At 45.0% G+C, this 17,693-nt stretch overlaps 1 protein-coding gene and 1 pseudogene across 3 annotated transcripts in view; both read left to right on the forward strand.

The window, feature by feature from the left end:
* BFAR (bifunctional apoptosis regulator) overlaps positions 1-17,693 on the forward strand; it is a 36,286-nt gene that overhangs the window by 7,852 nt on the left and 10,741 nt on the right. The window contains exons 2-5 of one of the 3 annotated variants that reach the window (NM_016561.3): positions 3,472-3,807; positions 7,586-7,790; positions 9,002-9,171; positions 14,264-14,408. In NM_016561.3, the coding sequence (NP_057645.1) occupies positions 3,545-3,807; positions 7,586-7,790; positions 9,002-9,171; positions 14,264-14,408 (783 nt within the window). In that variant the 5' untranslated portion in view covers positions 3,472-3,544. The remainder of the gene's footprint in view (positions 1-3,471; positions 3,808-7,585; positions 7,791-9,001; positions 9,172-14,263; positions 14,409-17,693) is intronic. The other 2 variants (XM_005255350.3, NM_001330500.2) reach the window with 2 other exon arrangements.
* On the forward strand, positions 2,986-3,047 carry RNU7-125P (RNA, U7 small nuclear 125 pseudogene; annotated as a pseudogene).

Here is a 17,693-nt window from a genome sequence, read left to right on the forward strand (position 1 = left end):
GCCCCTTCTGAGAGCCTAATAAACCCTATAGACTGCCTTCTAGAAACATGGACGTACCATACACAAACGCAAGCGTGGCACAGAATTCAGACTTCCCGAGGCATCTCTCCAGATACCAGTTGTAGACCCAACTTTTTATTCAGAAACCTTAGCTCTTCAGAGTGACTCAGTGCCTATGGGAACTCCTGAGGTTTTGCTGTCCTCTTCAGTTCTAAGGTGTTCAGTCTATGGTTTTAAACTTGTTTGTTTGCTGTTTTGTAGATTTTTCCAAACCCAGTCATTCTTCCCATTCGTTTTTGAACTAAGTAATTATTGCTTCTCGCCCTTTTGGCTAAGATCAACTAAACTTGGTAAATAACAGTTATGATTTCCTAAACACAAGTGTATCCATATGAATGGAGCACCAGGGGTAGGAATAGAATGATTCTCCTCCCCGCAATCCTGCCCCTACCCCCTTGTCTTTGGAGCCTTCAAGATGGAGAAAACAGTGAAGAGAAGAGTAGCTGAGAGCTGCTTCTAACGCCTGCAGCCTGCTGCTGACAGCTAGCCATATGTGCAGAGAACAACTGTAAACATCCTTAGGAGGTGGAGGCCTTCTCAAAGAGGCCTTTAATTATTAATTAGTTAATAATTAATAACCAGCATTATTGCTGGTGCAGGAGGGTGTGAACCCAGGAGGCGGAGCTTGCAGTGAGTGGAGATCGCGCCCCTGCACTCCAGCCTGGGCGACAGAGTGAGACTCCATCTCAAAAAAAAAAAAAAAAAGTATACTATAGAGGCCGGACATGGTGGCTCACGCCTGTAATCCCAGCACTTTGGGAGGCTGACGCAGGCAGATTGCCCGAGGTCAGGAGTTCAAGACCAACCTGACCAACATGGTGAAACCCCCATCTCGACTAAAAATACAAAATTAGCAGATGTGGTGGTGCCTGCCTGTAATCCCAGCTACTTAGGAGGCTGAGGCAGGAGAATCGCTTGAACCCCAGGAGGTGGAGATTGCAGTGAGCTCAGGTTGTGCTATTGCACTCCAGCCTGGGCAAAAAGAGCAAAACTCTATCACTAAAATAAAATAAAAATCAAGTGAATTGTTACCATTTATGGTAGACTTACCATGTGCCAGGCTCTGTACTAGGCACTTGACTCGAATTCTCTTCTTTAATGCTGCAAAACTCCCACTATGGTTAAGTGCTGTCATTGTCCCTCATCTATATGGTGAGCAAGCTGAGCCTCACCGCTGGTAAATGGCAGAGGTGGGGTGAGAACCCAGGCAGCCCAGCCATGGGACCTGTGTTCCTAACCACTGTGCCTCCAGAGCATGAAGCGTGAGCCCTTCCCTGCATGGCCAGTGTGGGCGGCGGAGAGCAATTTTCAGTCTTTTCCTTCACAATAGCAAGATTGAGAAACTCACCAGAAATAGTATGAATAATCATTTCTATAGCGCGTATTTACACCATACAAATTTTGAGCCACTTTCCTTCACTGTCTCTAATCCTCACAAGAAATCTTGATGGTTTGTGTACTGTGACCACCATTTCACAGTTGAGGAAACTTGATCAGAGAGCTTGAGTAACTTCTGCAGAGTCACAGAGCTAGTGACTTGGGGGAGTTAAGAGTCCAACTCCAAGATCTGTGTCATACTACTTCTCAATTTAAAAAAATTTTTAAAAATGTCTCCTAAAACCCAGATGAAAACAAGAAGAGAATGGTCCTTTGTCATTTGCTTACCTTTTGTCATTTGCTTATTAGTAATATTAGCATTTCTGTGGCACCAAGCTGGCTGGATCCAGAGGGCATGAGATGCATTTTTTGGGTTGATTTGGAGGGAAAGGGTATATTGAGCCATGGCAGATTTGGCCTGGCACAGCTAGAAAATGAGGCTTCACTCACTTCTTGGAATTGCTCGCATTAGAGCCTCTGAAGTCAAATGTTTATAAAATAATGATTGCCTAATGAGAAGGCAGATTTGTGTGCACAACAAGTGTTATTTACAGGAAGCATATCTGTTGTTACCAACCCCAGACATTTTACTAGGCCAAGAAGCTGGTTTATTTAAAGTCATAGACCTGGAAAGGTCTTTGGGAATTTAATTGAGGCCAGGCATAGTAGCTCACACCTGTAATCCCAGCACTTTGATAGGCCAAGACTGGCAGATCACTCGAGTTCAGGAGTTCGAGACCAGCCTGGCCAACATGGTGAAAACCCACCTCTACTAAAAATACAAAAATTAAAGCCAGATGTGGTGGCTCATACCTGTAATCCCAGCACTTTGGGAGGCTGAAGAGGGTGGATCACCTGAGGTCAGGAGTTCAAGACCAGCCTGGCCAACATGGCGAAAACCCGTCTCTACTAAAAATACAAAAATTAGCTGGGCCCAATGGCACGCACCTGTAATCCCAGCTACTTGGGAGGCCAAGGCAGAATTGCTTGAACCTGGCAGGCAGAGGTTGACGTGAGCCAAGATCACACCACCGCACTCCAGCCTGGCTGATAGAGTGAGACTTCGTCTCAAAAAAAAAAAAAGGAAATTTAATTGAGAACACTGAGATCAGGGAAATTTCATTTTCTAAGGAAGTTAGTGAAGGAGAATGATCCAGAAATCTCTGCCCACATCCTTCGAGTCTATGGAACCTTCCACTACACATATTATTTTGCTTTACTACATTTGAAAAGTATAACAAATAGGCCAGAAAGAAATTGAATGCTGATTATGTGGTTTATGGTATGTGGATTTTAATAAATCAAATTTGTCACTTTAAAAAATTAGAGCTCCAGCCTGGGCAATGTGGCGAAACTGCATCTCTACTAAAAATACAAAAAATTACCCGGGCATAGTAGTGCACACCTGTAGTCCCAGCTACTCAGGAGGGTGAGGTGGAGGATCACCTACCTGAGCCTGGGAAGTTGAGGCGGCAGTGAGCTGTGATTGCGCCACTGGACTCCAGCCTTGTTGAGAATGAATTAATTAATTAATTAAAATTAGAGCTTTAGTATTACAACTCCTTTACAATTTGTCTAGAAGGTTTTCTGGTCTTTATCAGAAAGCCTCCCCCACCCCCACCAAAAAAAAAAAAAAATCAGGCTGGGCACAGTGGCTCATGCCTGTAATCTCAGCACTTTGGGAGGCCAAGGCAGGCAGATCACGAGGTCAGGAGATCGAGACCATCTTGGCTAACACGGTGAAACCCCGTCTCTGCTAAAAAAATATGAAAAATTAGCTGGGTATGGTGGGTTGCACCTGTAGTCCCAGCTACTGGGGAGGCTGAGGCAGGAGAATTGCTTGAACCTGGGAGGTGGAGGTTGCAGTGAGCTGAGATCACGCCACTGCACTCCATCCTGGGCCAGAGAGCAAGACTGTGTCTCAAAAAAAAAAAAAAAAAATTAGCGCTTCAATAGAATGTCAATACTTTTATATTAACTGCTCTTCAAACAACTACTATTTGCCTTATTTTTGTCTCTGTTTTTTTTTTCTAGATTAATGATGTTTTGCAGCAGTTTTCTACGTCTGAAATTTTTTATGTCTCTGGAACCCAGAATTTGCTAAGAGATGGAGGAACCTCAGAAAAGCTATGTGAACACAATGGACCTTGAGAGAGATGAACCTCTCAAAAGCACCGGCCCTCAGATTTCTGTTAGTGAATTTTCTTGCCACTGCTGCTACGACATCCTGGTTAACCCCACCACCTTGAACTGTGGGCACAGCTTCTGCCGTCACTGCCTTGCTTTATGGTGGGCATCTTCAAAGAAAACAGAATGTCCAGAATGCAGAGAAAAATGGGAAGGTTTCCCCAAAGTCAGTATTCTCCTCAGGTAATGTTCAGCCTATATTGGTAGCACAAACAGCCCATAAAATGTGGTTTCTCTCTTGCTTTTTTTTTTTTTTTTTTAACAGAGATGGCGTCTCGCTATGTTGCCCAGGCTGGTCTCAAACTCCTGACCTCAAGTGATCCTCCCACTTCAGCCTCCCAAAGTGCTGGGATTATAGGTGTGAGCCACCATGTCCAGCCAGTGGGCTTTCTCTTAACAGGAACAGCAGTGTTTGAAAGGTCGCACACTTGGAGCCCACCTCCTTGGGGGTGGATCTTCTGGAATATGAGTCAGGGAGCTCAAGGAACTGGAAATCCAGATTCTCTTCCTCATAGGTGACCATGACTTTTTAAATTATTTATTATGAATGAAGGAAAGAAAGAAAGTCTGGTTAGCAGACCGTTGCTGGTAATCCTGTCATATAAAGGCCAGACCAGTGGCTCACGCCTGTAATCCCAACACTTTCAGAGGCTGAGGTAGGAACATTGCTTGACACCAGGAATTTAGAAGCATCCTGGGCAACACGGTGAGTCCTTATCTCTATAGAAAGTTTTAAAAATTAGCCAGGTGTGGTGGTACATGCCTATAGTCCCAGCTATGCCAGTGGCTGAGGTGGGAGGATTGCTTGAGCCTGGGAGGTCGAGGCTGCAATGAGCTCACACCACTACACTCCAGCCTGGGCAACAGAGCAAGACCCTGTCTCAAAAAAAAAGAAAGAAAGAAAGAAAGAAAGCAAATGGTATAACTGTATAATTGTGAATAACTGGTTTGTTGCTGATTTTAATAATCTTTAGATAACCCCAGTTCCAGTTATCACATTAATAGAGTTTCTCATGTGTAGCATCACAGTGCCAAAGCCACCTTTCAGATAGCTTGTTATTTTCTGCTTCTTTGGCTCATAATGTACCTGTGAAGGCTCTGAGGCTTAAATCCTCTTCCCCTCTTCTATTGTCTAACAATGTGTGTGCCCTTCTTGATTTCAACAGAGTACTAGAAAGTTCCATGAACCCAACCTTTTCTTTTTCACAAAAGATGTGTTTACACTTTGCTCTTACCTGTCAGTCTTGATTTAGCTGAAGGTTAAATTTAATCTTAAATTAAAGGAGGGTTCTTTGTGTATAACTGAACATTTAAAAAGAGCCCTACAATTTAAGCTGACAGTTGGTCTTATTACTGAATTTTGCTTTTTTCCCTTCTTATAAACTGATTTTAATAACATAAGATACATATATATACACACACATACACACACATACATACATTCATTGTTTATATTCTTTGAGACAAAGTCTCACTCTGTCGCTCAGGCTGGAGTGCAGTGGTACGACCTTGGCTCACTGCAACCTCCACCTCCTAGGTTCAAGTGATTCTCCTGCCTCAGCCTCTGGAGTAGCTGGGATTACAGGAGCCTGCTACCACGCCCAGCTAATTTTTGGGTTTTTTTGTTTGTTTTTTGTTTTTTGAGACGGAGTTTCACTCTTGTTTCCTAGGCTGGAGTGCAATGGCGTGATCTCGACTTACCACAACCTCTCCCTCTCAGGTTCAAGCAGTTTTCTCCTGCCTCAGCTTCCCTAATAGCTGGGATTACAGGCAACTGCCACCACGCCCGGCTAATTTTGTATTTTTAGTAGAGACGGGGTTTCCCCATGTTGATGAGGCTAGTCTCAAACTCCTTACCTCAGATGATCCGCCCACCTTGGCCTCCCAAAGTGCTGGGATTATAGGCGTGAGCCACCGTGCCTGGTGAATGTTTGTATTTTCAGTAGAGACGGGGTTTCACAGTTTTGGCCAGGCTGGTCTCGAACTCCTGACCTTTAGTGATCCGCCCGTCTTGGCCTCCCAAAGTGCTGGGATTACAGGCGTGAGCCACTGTGCCTGGCCAAATGCCCAGCTAAAATTTTTTTTTTTTAAGATGGAGCTTCACCCTTGTTGCCCGGGCTGGAGTGCATTGGCAAAATCTCGGCTCACTGCAACCTCCGCCTCCCAGGTTCAAGTGATTCTCCTGCCTCAGCCTCCCAAGTAGCTGGGATTACAGGCATGTGCCACCATGCCTGGCTAATTTTGTATTTTTCGTAGAGACAGAGTTTCTCCATGTTGGTCAGGCTGGTCTCATACTCCCGACCTCAGGTGATCCGCCCGCCTCAGCCTCCCAAAGTGCTGGGATTACAGGCATGAGCCCCCGCGCCCAGCCTCTTTTTAAAATATTGGAAAATTACTGATAAAACTAAAGATCCTTTTGACCCCTTATTTTCCCATCTTAGAATCCTTTCCTTTTTCCTTAGAATAATTTCAGTTATGACTTAGTTGTGCTTTTGTTCAGATTTTTTTAAATACTTTTTTTTAACTTTTTAGTAGCGATCAGGTCTCACTATGTTGCCCAGGCTGGTCTCCAACTGCTGAGCTCAAGTGAACCTCCTGCCTCAGCATCCCACAGTGCTGAGATTACAGGCGTGAGCCACTACACCCAGCCTCAGATTTTTCAAAATACTCTTTTTTGAGACAGAGTCTCGCTCTGTTGCCCAGGCTGGAGTGCAATGGTGCGATCTCAGCTCACTGCAACCTCCTCCTCCCAGGTTCAAGCGATTCTCCTGCCTCAGCCTCCCAAGTAGCTGGGATTACAGGCGCCCACCACCACACCCGGTTGATTTTTGTATTTTTAGTAGAAACAGGGTTTTACCATGTTGGCCAGGCTGGTCTGGAACTCCTGACCTTAAGTGATCTGCCCACCTCGGCCTCCCAAAGTGCTGGGATTACAGGCGTGAGCCACCACGCCCGGCTTAAAAATACTTCTAAACATACATGTGCCAGGCTGGGTGCGGTGGCTCATGCCTGTAATCCCAGTACCTTGGGAGGACCGAGGCAGGCGGATCTCATGAGGCCAGGAATTCAAGACCAGCCTAGCCAACATGACCAAAAATACAAAAATTAGCCTGGTGTAATGGCGCATGCCCATAATCCCAGCTACTCAGGAGGCTGAGACATGAGAATCACTTGAAGGACACGGAGGTTGCGGTAAGCTGAGATCATGACATTACACTCCAGCCTGGGTGACAGAGCAAGACTCTTGTCTCAAAAAAAAAAAAAAACAAGTGCCAATAGAAAATGCAAGTATTTTCTCACATCATTGATGTGCTCTCTGCATGGTTCTGCAGTTTACTATTTTAAATCAATTATGTACGTCTTAAATTTCTCCACCTTGACACATTTAGTGATCCAGCAAATGCATTTAAAATTGTGATACTTCATTGTATGAATATACCATATTTCATTTAGCCTTTTACCTAGTAGTAAATGTATATCATCAGGTTGGTGCACAAGTAATTGCAGTTTTTACCATTGAAAGTAATGGTAGGCTGGGTGCAGTGGCTCATGCCTCTAATCTTAGCACTTTGGGAGGCCCCGGTGGGCAGATTGCCTGAGCTCAGGAGTTCAATACCAGCCTGGGCAACATAGTGAAACCCTATCTCTACTAAAAATACAAAAAAAAAGTTATCCGGGTATGGTGGTGTGCACCGGTGAGCCAAGATCACGCCATTGCACTCCAGCCTGGGCGACAGAGTAAGACTCCGTCTCAAAAAAACAAAAGGAGAAAGTAATGGTAAACAACCTAATAGATTATTTCAGATTTTTTGCTTTTACCCACAGGACTATAATACATTTCTTGTCAGTTCTCCTAGGGTAGCTATATATTATTAGATGTTGACTATCAGGGCTTTTTTGGCCTCTAAACATGATATTTAGTCAAACAACTGTCTTAATTTTTTTTTTCTATTCTCCATAGGGATGCCATTGAAAAGTTATTTCCTGATGCCATTAGACTGAGATTTGAAGACATTCAGCAGAATAATGACATAGTCCAAAGTCTTGCAGCCTTTCAGAAATATGGGAATGATCAGATTCCTTTAGCTCCTAACACAGGCCGAGCGAATCAGCAGATGGGAGGGGGATTCTTTTCCGGTGTGCTCACAGCTTTAACTGGAGTGGCAGTAAGTTGATCACTGTGTTCCTCTGTGCCCCCCCACACCTCACCCCCCGACCCCTGATTTCCACTGAAGTCAGTTCTGTTGAAATCACTGAAATAATTGATGATGTGACTCCATGTAATTTACTACGTACATTGAAATCTGCTGGGTTCTATGATTTCCTCAGGAATGTTGCTTACTCAGGTAGATCAGATCATAGTACCTAGTAAATGGAGAAAGGTGGTAGAACTGGAATTCAAGACCATGTCTGCCTTGGTAATACAATCTTTTTTTGTTTTGTTTTGTTTTTGAGACGGACTCTTGCTCTGTCGCCCAGGCTGGAGTGCAGTGGTGCGATCTAGGTAAAAACTTTCTTTTAGGGTGGTGAAAATGAACTAAAACCAGCTGTGGTGATGATGACACATATTTGTGAACACATTAAAAACCGTGGATTGTGTGCACTTCAAATGTGTGAATTTTATGTGGATTACATCTCTTGCTCTTTTTTTTTTTTTTTTTTTTTTTGAGATGAAGTCTTGCCCTGTTGCCTAGGCTAGAGTGCGGTGGCATGATCTCGGCTCACTGCCACCTCCACCTCCCGAGTTCAAGTGATTCTTCTGCCTCAGCTTCCCAAGTAGCTGGGATTACAGGCATGCGCCACTACAAGAGGCTAATTTTTGTGTGATTAGTAGAGATGGGGTTTCACCATGTTGGCCAGGCTGGTCTGGAACTCCTGACCTCAAGTGATCCACCCGCCTCAGACTCCTCAAGTGCTGGGATTATAGGCGTGAGCCACCACGCCTGGACCTCCTTGGTAATACAGTCTTAAGAACCCACCAGTTTACTAACTTCCAATGTGGAGACTATTTTCTTTTAAAGTTCTGTGCATAAAAAATCTAAATGTTTTTCCAGTAGAAAAGGCACAAGTCAGTTATGTTGAGCAAGTTGATGGAGTCAAGGCACCACCTGCTCCCAGGTGCCTGAGATAAGTCCTTTTCTCGCCTCTGTGCCCTCACTGCCACGCAATCAGCAGAGAGAGGCACCCGAGGAGAGCTGTGGTCCCCAGTTCTCTGTGGCCGTGGCGTTGCCCTGCTTTTGTTGCCCTGCTTCTGTGTACGGGCTCCGCATCATTCCCTGTGAGCTCAGCCTCTTCCTTTCCCCACCTCCCACCCGCATATTTAGAAACTGGCATCTCTGCCTCTCCATGGTTTAAAGTCCCTGTCACTTTTCCCCAGGTGGTCCTGCTCGTCTATCACTGGAGCAGCAGGGAATCTGAACACGACCTCCTGGTCCACAAGGCTGTGGCCAAATGGACGGCGGAAGAAGTTGTCCTCTGGCTGGAGCAGCTGGGCCCTTGGGCATCTCTTTACAGGGAAAGGTTTTTATCTGAACGAGTAAATGGAAGGTGAGGAGCAAAGTCTTCTGACACACCGTGGACATTTTAGAAAACAGCTTTCTTGAGATATAATCCAGGCCAGGCGCGGTGGCTCACACCTGGATCCCAGCACTTTGGGAGGCCGAGGCGGATCGATCATTTGAGGTCAGGAGTTCCAGACCAGCCTGACCAATATGATGAAACCCCATCTCTACTAAAAATACAAAAAAAAAAAATTGGCCAGGCTTGGTAGTGCACACCTTGTAATCCCATCTATTCGGGAGGCTGAGACAGGAGAATCACTTGAACCCAAGAGGTGGAGGTTACAATGAGCCAAGATCATGCCACTGCACTCCAGCCTAGGCAACAAGGCAAGACTCCATCTCAAAAAGAGAGAGAGAGAGATGTAATCTACATAAAATTCACACGTTTGAAGTGCACAATCCATGGTTTTTAATGTGTTCACAAATAGTGTGATTATCACCACAGCTGGTTTTAGAACATTTTCATCACCCTAAAAGAAAGCTTTTACCCTTCAGTCAATCCTCATTTCTCCCCAACCCCCAGCCCCTGGCAAACACCATTCTACTTTCTGTCTTTATGGATTTGTCTATTCTGGACGTTTGATATAAATGGATTCATACAATGCGTGGTATTTTGTGTCTGGCTTTTTCACTTAGCATAATCTTTTTCAAGGTTTACCCGTGACATAACATGTATCAGTACTTCATTCCGTTTTATGGCTGAGTAATAATTCTACTGTAAGAGTATACCGTATTTTGTTTATCCATTCATTGGTTGATGGACATTTGGGCTGATTCCATTTTTTGGCTATTATGAATAATGATGCTATGATCGTTCATGTGCAGATTCTTGCATGAACATGTATTTTCAATACTGTCTTGGAGTGGAATGACTGAGTCATATGGTAACTCTATTCAGACTCTATGTTTAACTGTCAAACTATTTTCCACAGCAGCTACACCGTTTAATGTCCATGACATTTAAATTTCTTTGTTGCTTCCGGATTATCAAATTGTGTAAGGAAAAATTCTCTCTAATCACAAGAATCAACACAGAAGACTTTTGTGACCAAATATGTGGGGTTCTCCTGCACACACCCAGCAGGAGACACCAGCTGGATGTCCTCTAATTCAGTTCCCACACTGTCTACCCAGAGATAGTGTGAGATCCCACAGGGTGAGGGCTCTGTCCCCAAGACTGCCCCTGACTAATTCTAGTCAGAAATCCAGGCTTCCAGAATTTCTGACCCACCAGCTTCAAGTTGGGGTTCCCATGATTCCCTCTTTGGGTTCAATTAATTTGCTGGAGCAGCTCACAGAACTCAAGGAAACACGTACTTTCACTGGTTTATTATAAAGGATATTGCAAAAGATACAGATAAAGAGACACTTAGGGCAAGGTATGGGGGAAGGGGCACAGAGCTTCCATGCTCTCCACGGGTGCACTCCCCTCCAGGAACCTCACATGCTCAGCTATCCAGAAGCTCACTGAATCCTGTCCCCCGGAGTATTGTGTTTTTGTTTTTGTTTTTTCAGACAGGGTCTCACTCTGTAGCCCAGGCTGGAGTGCAGTGGCACAACCTCAACTCAACTGCAATCTCTGTGTTTAGGGCTCAAGGAGTCCTACCTCAGCCTCCCAAGTAGCTGGGACTGCAGGCACATGCCATCAGGCCCAGCTAATTTTTGTATTTTTAATAGAGACAGGGTTTTGCCATGTCGCCCAGTCTGATCTTGAACTCCTAGACTCAAACAATCCACCCGCCTGAGCTTCCCAAAATGTTGTGATTATAGGCATGAGCCCCCGCACCCTCCTCATGGAAGATTCTTAAGACCCACAATCAGAAAGGTAGGAAAAGATTAGAGTGAAAGGAGAGCAGGAGGTCAGATGCCTGTACTGAGGCCTGACATGCCCAATTTTTTTTTTTTTTTTTTTTTTTTTAGATGGAGTCTCGCTCTGTCCTTCAGGCTGGAGTGTAGTGGTGTGATCCTGGCTCACTGCAACCTCCGCCTCCTGGGTTCAAGCGATTCTCCTGCCTCAGCCTCCCGAGTAGCTGGCACTGCAAGTGCCTGCCACCACGCCCGGCTAATTTTTGTATTTTTAGTAGAGATGGGGTTTTACCATGTTGACCAGGCTGGTGTTGAACTACTGACCTCAGGTGATCCACCGCCTTGGCCTCCCAAAGTGCTGGAATTATAGGCGTGAGCCACCGTGCTAGGCCTCCAACATTCTAACACAGATTGGAATAAGGGATACAGCAGCTATGAGCCGGGAACTATGGACGAAAGCCAATATGTAACACCACATTAATATATATTTTTATTTTTTTTTTTGAGATGGAGTCTTACTCTGTCTCCCAGGCTGGAGTGCAGTGGCAGCGATCTCAGCTCACTGCAACCTCCACCTCCCAGTTTTGGGTGATCCTCCTGCCTCAGCTTCCCGAGTAGCTAGGATTATAGGCGCCTGCCATCATGCGTGGCTAATTTTTGTATTTTTAGTAGAGATGGGGTTTCGCCATGTTGACCAGGCTGGTCTGAAACTCCTGACCTCTGGTGATCCACCCACCTCGGCCTCCCAAAGTGCTAGGATTACACGTGTGAGCCACCACACCTGGCAAATATATATTTTTATTTTTAAAAAAATAATAACTATGTGATATTGAAAGTGACATACTCTTGTAATCCTACTCTTCAGAAAACAATTTATCTTGCTAGACACCTTTCCAGATGTTTCAGTACTTACACAGATATAAATGTGTTTTTTTTAATTTAAACTGAAAATATGATTGTACTAAACAGACATGTGTTTGTATGTATACATGTATATATATATTTACATCTATATCCACCCCCTAAGGGTGTTACGTATAACATCACACAGTGATAAGAGCAGCCTCTCTCCCTGATTCATTTGTTTCAGACACCCACTTCACCCACTGCCTGGCTGCCTGACTGCCACCCCTCCTACTCCAGTGACTTTTTCTCTCCTCTCCACTCAGTTTTCAGCACTTGACTGACTCTGTTTTGAGGAAATGGCATGCTCCTACTTTAATTAGCTTTATATAGAAATTCACCTCCCGCAAAATTATGGTATAAAAATTTCTCTACCTAGTTAGTACAATGTATTTTTACATAGCTTTCTAGAGGACAAATTCCTGGAACTGGAATTGCTGGGCCAAAGATAGTAAATCTGTACAAATTTAATAAGCATCACCAAATTACCCATAAAAGGACGATCAATTTACACCACTCAACCAGTAGTTGCATATGCCTGTTAATAGCTCTCCGGCCAGCTTACAGTGATGTTTTTAAGGATGAATCACTGTGGAGGGGAATTTGTGTTTTCTTGTGTGTGTTTTTTTTAATTTAATTTTTATTTTTTTGAGACAGTTTCACTCTTGTTGCCCAGGCTGGAGTGCAGTGGCGTGATCTTGGCTCACTGCAACCTTCACCTCCTGGGTTCAAGCGATTCTCCTGCTTCAGCCTCCTGAGTAGCTGGGATTACAGGCACACGCCACCATGCCCGCCTAATTTGTATTTTTAGTAGAGACGAGGTTTCACCACGTTGGCCAGGCTGGTCTCAAACTCCTGACCTCAGATGATCTACCTGTGCCTCAGCCTCCCAAAGTGCTGGATTACAGGCATGAGCCACCGCCCCCAGCCAGAATTTGTGTTTTCTGATGAGGAAAGCAGATACGGGATCTCCAATTATTTTTATTAAATTAAATCCCTACCTTAAAACAACTACTCTTTTTTCTTCAAGAGACAGAGTCTCTTTCTGTCACCAAGGCTAGAGTGCAGTAGCAGTATCATAGCTCACTACAGCCTCAAAGTCCTGGGCTCAAGCAATCCTCTTGTCTCAGCCTCCCAAGTAATTAAAACGACAGGTGCATGCCACCATGCCTGGCTAATTTTTCTGGAGAGACAGGGTCTCACTGTGTTGCCCAGGCTGGTCTCAAACTCCTGGGCTCAAGTGATTCTTCTGCCTCAGCCTACCAAAGTACTGGGATTATAGGTGTGAGCCACTGTGCCCATCTAAGAACTTTTTTTTTTTTTTTTTTTTTTTGAGGCGGAGTCTTGCTCTGTCACCCAGGCTGGAGTGCAACAGTGTGATCTCGGCTCACTGCAAGCTCCGCCTTCCGGGTTCACGCCATTCTTCTGCCTCAGCCTCCCGAGTAGCTGGGACTATAGGCGCCTGCCACGACACCTGGCTAATTTTTTGTATTTTCAGTAGAGACGGGGTTTCACCGTGTTAGCCAGGATGGTCTTGATCTCCTGACCTCGTGATCTGCCCGCCTCGGCCTCCCAAAGTGCGAACTATTCTTAATGTTGTAATGTTTTATTGGATTTCCTTCTAATTTTTCCTATACATACACACAGTTTTAAAAATAGAGTAATATAAAAAAATAAATAAAAATAGAGTAATATGTGAGAGGTCAGAGCGTATAACTGAAAGATCAAAGGCTTAGGAACAAAACAGACCTAGGAGTGCCTTGGGAAAGTCACCTTATTTCTCTAAGTGAGTTTTCCTTTTTTTTTTTTTTTTTTTTTTTTTGAGATGGAGTCTCACTCTGTTGCCTGGGCTGAAGGCTGGAGGGCAGTGACGAGATCTTAGCTCACTGCAACCTCCGCCTCCCAGGTTCAGGCAATTCTCATGCCTCAGCCTCCCAAGTAGCTGGGATTACAGGTGCACGCTAATTTTTGTACTTTTAGTAGAGACGTGGTTTCACCATGTTGGCTGGGCTGGTGTTAAACACCTGATTTCAAGTGATCTGCCTGCCTCAGCCTCCCAAAGAGCTGGGATTATAGGCATGAGCCACTGCACCCAGCCAAAGCGAGTTTTCTGATCTACAAAAGCAGCATAATGCCACTACCCTGAATAATTGTTATATGGATCAGTGATGACTTATGAAAGTATTTATAGATTGTCACTGGTAAATAGTAAGCATTCAATTATTTGCTGCTCTTGATGTTGTTAAATGTGAAATGTCTCACCATACCTCAAGCCTACAATATTTATATTAGTAAGATGGAACTCTGAGTGTAGAGAGTTTGCTTCCAGTATATAATCGCAAAATAAATCTCCTCCTGCCCCTCTACAGGTTGCTTTTAACTTTGACAGAGGAAGAATTTTCCAAGACGCCCTATACCATAGAAAACAGCAGCCACAGGAGAGCCATCCTCATGGAGCTAGAACGTGTCAAAGCATTAGGCGTGAAGCCCCCCCAGAATCTCTGGGAATATAAGGTGAACACTTTAATTTTTTTTTTTTTTTTTTACTTTTTATTTTTATTTTTTGTTAATTTTTTTTAATTTCAGGGTTTTCTTTTTTATTTTTGACAGTTTATGTACTTATTTATTTATTTATTTTATTTTGAGACAGAGTCCTTCTCTGTCGCCCAGGCTGGAGTGCAATGGCGCAATCTCAGCTCAGTGCAACCTCTGCCTCCCAGGTTCAAGTGATTATCCTACCTCAGCCTCCAGAGTAGCTGGGATTACCCTACCCAGCTAATTTTTTCTTTCTTTTTTTTTTTTTTCTGGCTCACTGCAACCTCCACCTCCCAGGTTCAAGCGATTCTCCTACCCCAGCCTCACCAGCAGCTGGGATTACAGGCACACGCCACCACACCAGGCTAATGTTTATGTTTCTAGTAGAGATGGTTTCAGGATGTTGGCCAGGCTGATCTCAAACTCCTGACCTCAGGTGATCCACCTGCCTCCTGACCTCAGCCTCCCAAAGTGCTGGGATTACAGGCGTCAGCCACCGCGCCTGGCCTGTTTTACAAATAAATAAGGAAAGAGACACTTACATGTTTTGGGGACCTTGAATTGTTGGAATATCACTGGAGGACAATTTGTCAATAACATTTCAGTTTAAACCGCATCTGCTCTTTAAGCCAGCATTTCACTCCTTTGCACTTGGAATGGAGGCAGCACAGCACGGTGGTCAAGAGTGAGGCTCTGGGCTGGTCACCGTGGCTCACAACTGTAATCCCAGCACTTTGGGAGGCCGAGGCGGGGGGATGACCTGAGGTCAGCAGTTTGAGACCAGCCTGGCCAACGTGGTGAAACCCCGTCTCTACTAAAATCACAAAAATTAGCTGGGAGTGGTGGCACACTCCTGTAGGTCCATTTACTTGGAGGCAGGAGAAATGCTTGAACCTGGGAGGTTGAGGCTGCGGTAGCCGAGATCACACCGCTGCATGGCAGCCTAGGGGACAGAGCAAGACTCCGTCCCAAAAAAAAAAGCAAAGAACAGAAACAAAAAGAGTAACGCTGTGGGCTGGGCATGGTGGTTCACAACTATAATGCTAGTACTTTGGAAGGCTGAGGTGGGAGGATTGCTTAGCTCAGGAGTTCAAGACTAGCCTGGGTAACATGGCAAGACCCCATCTCTACAAAAAGTACAGACACAAAAAAAATTAGTTGAGTGTGGTGATGCCAGCCATTTGCGAGGCTGAGGCTGCGCTAAACCATGATCGAACCACTGCACTCCAGCCTGGGCAAGAGAGTTGAGACCCTGTTTCAGAAAAAAAAAAAAAGGCCCTGGCACTAGCCTGCCTGGGCCAGCTCCTCCAAGACACACCACCTGTTGGAACACCAGCAAGTACCTGCACCTCTCCTTGCCTGTTTCCTCCTGGGTAAATAACCTTAGAGGGTCATTGTGAGACTCCAATGTTTGATTAACGGAAAGTTGTTAAACAAGTTATTCACGGCAGCATTGTTGGTAATTGCAGGGAGTAGAAAACAACCTAAGTGCCCCTCATTAGGAACAAGTTGAATAAACAAGGCACACCCATGTAGGCAGCCACCGGAAAAGGAGACAAAGACTTTGTGTTAATAAGGAACAAAGTCCTGTAATCCATAAGGAACAAAGTCCTGTAATCCCAGCACTTTGGGAGGCCGAGGCAGGCTGATCACTTGAGGCCAGGAGTTCCAGACCAGCCTGACCAACATGGTGAAACCCCATCTCTACTAAAAACACAAAAATTAGCCAGGTGTGGTGGTGCATGCCTATAATCCCAGCTACTCAGGAGGCTACGGCAGGAGAATTGCTTGAACTAAGGAGGTGGAGGTTGCAGTGAGCTGAGATGGTGCCACTGCACTCCAGCCTGGGTGACAGAGTGAGACACTGTCTCAAATGAAGAAAGAAATAAAAAATGCTTCTGTAATATGTGCGTGTATTACTTTAATAACTAGTTTCAAATATTGTAAAGAATGTGCGTGGAGCTCCTGAAATAGAATGTTTGTTATTTTTTGTGTTATTTGGTTTTTGTTTTTGTTTTGTTTTGTTTTGTTTTTTGAGAGGGTGTCTCGCTCTGTCGCCCAGGCTGGAGTGCAGTGGCGCGATCTCAGCTCACTGCAAGCTCTGCCTACTGGGTTCACGCCATTCTCCTGCCTCAGCCTCCCAAGTAGCTGGGACTACAGGCGCCCACCACCGTGCCCGGCTAATTTTTTTATTTTTTGGTAGAGACGAGCTTTCACCATGTTAACCAGGGTAGTCTGGATCTCCTGACCTTGTGATCCGCCTGCCTCGGCCTCCCAAAGTGCTGGGATTACAGGTGTGAGCCACCGCGCCTGACCTGTTTTTGTTTTTTTGAGACAGAGTCTCACTGTTTCCCAGACTGGAGTGCAGTGGTGCGACCTTAGCTCACTACAACCTCTGCCTTCCAGGTTCAAGCAATTCTCATATCTCACCCTCCAGAGTAGCTAGGAATACATGCAGGTGCCACCATGCCCAGCTAATTTTGTATTTTTAGTAGAGGCGGAGTTTTGCCATATTGGCCAGGCTAGTCTTGAACTCCTGACCTCAGGTGATCTGCCCGCCTCAGCCTCCCCAAAGTGCTGGGATTACAGGCGTGAGCCACTGCGCCCAGCCAAGCTGCCATATTTTTCATAGGTAAATATTTCAGCATTAATCTCTTAAAAAAAAATTTTTTTTTGAAATGGAGTCTCACCATGTTGCCCAGGCTGGTCTCAAATTCCTGGTCAAGTAATCCTCCCACCTCAACCTCCCAAGTAGCTGGGGCTACAGGCACAGGCTACTGAAGCAGCTACATTGCCTGGGGAACTGGGGTTTGTCATCTTGCACCAGGAAAATTTAGGACACAGACACACAAGAGTTGAGCAGAGGTTTAATAGGCAAAAGTAAGAGAAAGGAAAACAGCTCTGTCTCTAGCAAGAGAGAGGGGACTTCCAAGAGGAAAAGACTGGCAGGCAGCAGATGTGCTGGATTTTTTAGTCAGTTTTGAGGAGGCGGTGTCTGATTTACATAGGGCTCACAGATTGGTTCGATCAGGTATGATGTTTCCACAGTGCACAGGAAGGGTGGTCACCCCACCCTAATCTTATTATGCAAAGGAACTTTCTGTCCCCTTGGCTGGTGCTATCTTGTCTGCTCCTTACTGTACTGTACATGTGGCTGACAAAGAGAAGGGAAGATGGAGCTTCTGTCTTGAACATGATTGACATAACTGCCAGCATCTGTGTCTGCAGTTCCATTTTACAGGCTGCTGTTTGTTAGAAAGGAAA

The sequence above is a fragment of the Homo sapiens genome, chromosome 16 (assembly GCF_000001405.40).
Source record: "Homo sapiens chromosome 16, GRCh38.p14 Primary Assembly".
NCBI classification, from domain to species: domain Eukaryota; kingdom Metazoa; phylum Chordata; class Mammalia; order Primates; family Hominidae; genus Homo; species Homo sapiens.